We start from the raw sequence: 4,324 nt of genomic DNA on the forward strand, positions 1-4,324 counted from the left end.
GCGCGGCAGGGCGGGGAGGAGCGGGACTGGCAAAGCGGGGAGGGGCGGGGCTGGCGAAGCGGGGAGGGGCGAGGCCAGAAACACAACCGGCAGGGAGGTGCGAGGTTGACTGCGGCTGGGCTCCCATGGGCTTTAAAGTCTTGCCCTGTAATTATAATCTTAATTACCTACGCTTAATTAGGTGAATCTTATACCGTGCATAATGTTGCTCTGCAGCGTGAAAATGTAGACAATACATTATGCGTTTACACAAACTATATGTTAATACGTAATTATACAAAATATTGGTATATTCTATGAAAAATTCGTGAAGAACCCTCCCAGTATGCCAGAGCTTTCCTCTGGGGGCAAAGATCAAGGAAATTTTCACTTTCTGCTTTTCAGGATGGTTCCAAAGTCTTTGCCTTTATAAGTACTCACTTGAATAATAAATTTATCTAAATCCGTTTACATTGGTGGGGTGGGAGATTATTATTTTCTTTGAACAAATCAGCATTAATATTTTCATGTCACATTCTGTTAGATAAGTTCAGCGGAAACAAAATGATTAAAACTTTTCCTGAGATAAATGTGTATATTTAGATACAAAGAAAAAAGTATAAAGGAAAACAATCACAAAAATCAAAGAATAACTGAGAACACCCATAATCCTATCACCTAAAGATAAATTGTGATAAAAGTTTCAATTATTTTCTTCTAGAGTCAGAAATACAAATATACACTGTGAATCTGGATGGCTGGATAGAGGGAAATGATCATGTTCAAAAATGTATGTATATACACGTACACACACATCTCCTTCTATGGAGTGGGACAAGAATGATATTTGGAATCAAAAGTAACTGATTTTAAATTCTTCTCAGTTGTGAGCTACGAAACCCTTAGACACTTCTATTTCTTCATTTATAAAGTGGGCATAACACTATTCACCTTGTAAGACTGATAATTAAGTAAAATCCAGAGTGGCTCTCAAAATACAGTTCCTGATCAACATCACTTGGGAAGTTTTTTTTAACACAAATTTTCACCCCTCACCGCCCCCACCACGCTCCCCACCGCCCCCCCGCCACCCCACCCTTCAGCCTTCTGCAAAGCCTGGGGTGATTCTCCACTGGTAAAGTTTGAGGGCCACTGAAATGGAGTACATAAAGCCTGATGGGTACTCAGTAAATGTAGCTGCTGTTACTACACTGTGATATTTAACCTCCTCTTGTCCTAGTTTTCAGTGAACCTTAAGGAAAGCTTGTCCTTTATGGTCCCCCAATTAGGTTCAGTTCAATAGCATTCACTGAGCTGAAAGTCAATGCCAGGCAGTGAGCGTGGGAATAGAGTTCACAGTCCCTATCAAGAGATACCAGCCTCCTTCTGCATCACATGTCTCAGCGTCAACTATGAAACTACTTTTTCTTGCCCAGACAACTCCACAGATGGTTTCACTGAGGATTTAACCTCAGTGCTTATCAAAATGGGCTCCTGTAGCCTGAACCCCCAACAATACTGGATACCCTTTGATTAGTGGTAGTGAGCATTGCAACCCTCTCAGATAGTGAAAAGCAGCAGTCACCTTAAAGGCCACCTAGTCCAGTCTCACCCATTTCACAGGGGAGGAAACTGAGGCCTAGGGATAGAGTACAGCTAGCCGATGAAGAAGTCTGCAAAGGTATCTGGCCCTGCATCTGCTTGCTTTGAGACTAACAGCCTGACTCACCATGGTGGTATTTTGATAAACGACACCAGGCACTCTCACTGGCTTAGATTGATTGACGGATTAGAAATAGCCATCTGCCCTTGCCAGGAATGAAAGCAACAGAGACATGCAAGCAAAACCTTCAACAGATTTATTTTACTTCAAATGGAACATATCATAAACAATTAGACTATCTGCTATGGTTTTTAAACAGACAGATAGTCTGAATGGTCCTATCTAGACACACCAGTCCCATTATAAAAGCCCCATCAAGCAGGGCTCGGCTTCCCACACCTGTAGTCCCGGCTACTTGGGAGGCTGAGGTGGGAGGACTGTTTGAGCCCAGGAGTTTAAAACCAGCCTGGGCAACATAGTGAGACCCTGTCTCTAAAAATAATAATAAATTAAAGCTCCAGAAAGACCTCTACAGTGAATCTGACCCCTCCCTCCCCGGAATGAACACTAACAAAGAGCTGCTACTAATAGCATTTCAAACAGTTACTGGAAAAAAGTAATGACTCATTACATGTTCATTTTTATTTAAAATAATTTAACAAAGGTAGAAATATTTAGAGAAAAAAAAAATCTCCCATACCCCAAAGAGAGAGACAGGGTTAACATTTTGGGAGGGAGACAGAAGGGAATCATGCTATAAACAGCTTTCTCTGTCTTTTCAGAATTTATTTATTTATGTTTAAACCTCTAAAGAGGTTTAATTCTTTCTTGGGTATCAATTGCCTGTGATCAAGGAGTAATCATATTGTTACTAATACACTCTTGACAGCTTTTGGTCATGCAGTTCTGAGCAGTTGGAAGATAAAGTTCTTAGTTACAGCTTCTAATACTCATAAATCTCACCAACAGTGTGGGGCCCCACTGGAGTTCCCACTCTCATCTTGACCAAGATGATTTACTCAGCTTGCCCACAGTGCTGCCTCTTGACATTCTGAAGCCCTGGGGAATTCCTCCACACCCTCTGACTTCCTGTAACTGAGCACTGAGGCTCAGTGCATCTCTATTTAGCACTCCTCTTACTGTCTCATATTTAACTAGTGTTTCCACTGGATTGCAGAAGTTTTGAAGGCAGAGCAGGATTACATTTTTCTCCTCTTTAAAAAAAAAAAGAAAAGAAAAGAAAAAAAACCCACAGTGCTTTCACAGAGCCTCAAAAGAACTCGAAATACTTGCTGGCATTGTACTGAATATTCTCAACCTTTTCCCCCTACCCAGATACATCCACAACAATAAAGTTGGAGCAAGGTAGAGAAAAGTTAGTAGATGTTTATAATGAAAGCATAGAAAACAAATCAGATTAAAGCACTATTAATAGCAAACAAGAATCGTGGGCTATCCTATTGCTAATAACAATAATAGTAACATATAACTGTGAACCTTTATTATACACTAAGCATTTCCTATACATTCCTTCACTTAGCCTCGTCTATATGGCAGATGTTCCATTATCCCCACTTTACACATGAAGACACCGAGGCTGGGAGAGATTAAGTAGTTTCTCCAAAGTCACCTGCCAGAGAGGAAGGAGCTGCGACTCTAATTTTGCTTTCTCTGACTTCACACCATCCCATTTTTCCAGAATCAAGAAAACATGAGCACTCAGGAATATTTTCACATTTTAAACTTTATTCAAAAAGCAGCACATAAGATATATCTTAGCACTAATTCCATGCAATCACCAAATTTTCCTAAACAACAGTAGTAGTAGTAATTTCTTAGAGTCGCTGTAAGCTCCTTAACTGTCTTCTGAATTAATAAGGAAAATTAAATTATGTTTTCTAGACTTTGCATTAGTATATTTCATTACTTTCCAAGTTTTCAAAAATTGGTGATCTGAGTAGAGTGAATTCACCTTGTCTAAGCCACTTAGGGGCTTAGAGACTCTGTTATCTTAGAAATCTTCACCTTAGAATTCTACCTATTACATTATACAATTAAACAAACTACTTTTTTTCTCATGCATTGTACCAATCAGCCCCTTAACTGAAAAAAGATGACCCTTGGAAGCTTAGAAGAGAATTGACAACGAATACTTCTTTTGCCAGGTCTTTGGGCTGGGATACAAAACATCACGTTATCTATGAATATATTGTGGTCCCTCAGTGAAAGCTGTCACCAAATATTGCAATAAAACTAAGAAAACTTTTGAAGTGGAATGCATATTTCTGCCCAGAAAATGCTGGATGCAGAACAACTAGTTCACTGCAGACAACTGTTTGCTTTAAAATGTAAGCAACATGCCCAGCTCAGGACTGAAGTGGCCAGAGTGCCTACTTTATCAGAATGGCATAGCAGTCCAACAATTTAGCCTAGAGAGAACAGAGGTGGAGAACAAAGAAGAGAAGTGAAAAAAACAGACCAGCCCTTCTGTTCTACATGACCTTCTTTCCCGTTTTGCCAATCTGATTTCACACATAGTGACTCATGGTGAAACAGAGAAAACATGGGAATTGCATTCAGATGTGTAGAGGTTAGTAAGACTTAGTTTTCAAAAGCAGCTCATTCTCCATTAACACTGTAGTCGCCTTCCATTTCATTTCACTTAGATTGGCATCTGCACAGCTGCCAAAATTTTTCTCTAAGTCAGAGAACACACTCCTAGGTAAACCTTCAAAAAAGGTA

At 39.9% G+C, this 4,324-nt stretch overlaps 3 annotated features.

Moving 5' to 3' along the window:
* Positions 21-90: a silencer, noted in NCBI's record as "silent region_14518". NCBI's record gives its function as "represses an Ori minimal core promoter by ATAC-STARR-seq in GM12878 lymphoblastoid cells {active_cell/tissue: GM12878}" and the evidence as "EXISTENCE:reporter gene assay evidence [ECO:0000049][PMID:35858748]".
* Positions 1,694-1,753: an enhancer, noted in NCBI's record as "active region_20051". NCBI's record gives its function as "activates an Ori minimal core promoter by ATAC-STARR-seq in GM12878 lymphoblastoid cells {active_cell/tissue: GM12878}" and the evidence as "EXISTENCE:reporter gene assay evidence [ECO:0000049][PMID:35858748]".
* Positions 2,558-2,717: an enhancer, noted in NCBI's record as "active region_20052". NCBI's record gives its function as "activates an Ori minimal core promoter by ATAC-STARR-seq in GM12878 lymphoblastoid cells {active_cell/tissue: GM12878}" and the evidence as "EXISTENCE:reporter gene assay evidence [ECO:0000049][PMID:35858748]".

The sequence above is a fragment of the Homo sapiens genome, chromosome 3, assembly GCF_000001405.40.
Source record: "Homo sapiens chromosome 3, GRCh38.p14 Primary Assembly".
Taxonomy (NCBI): domain Eukaryota; kingdom Metazoa; phylum Chordata; class Mammalia; order Primates; family Hominidae; genus Homo; species Homo sapiens.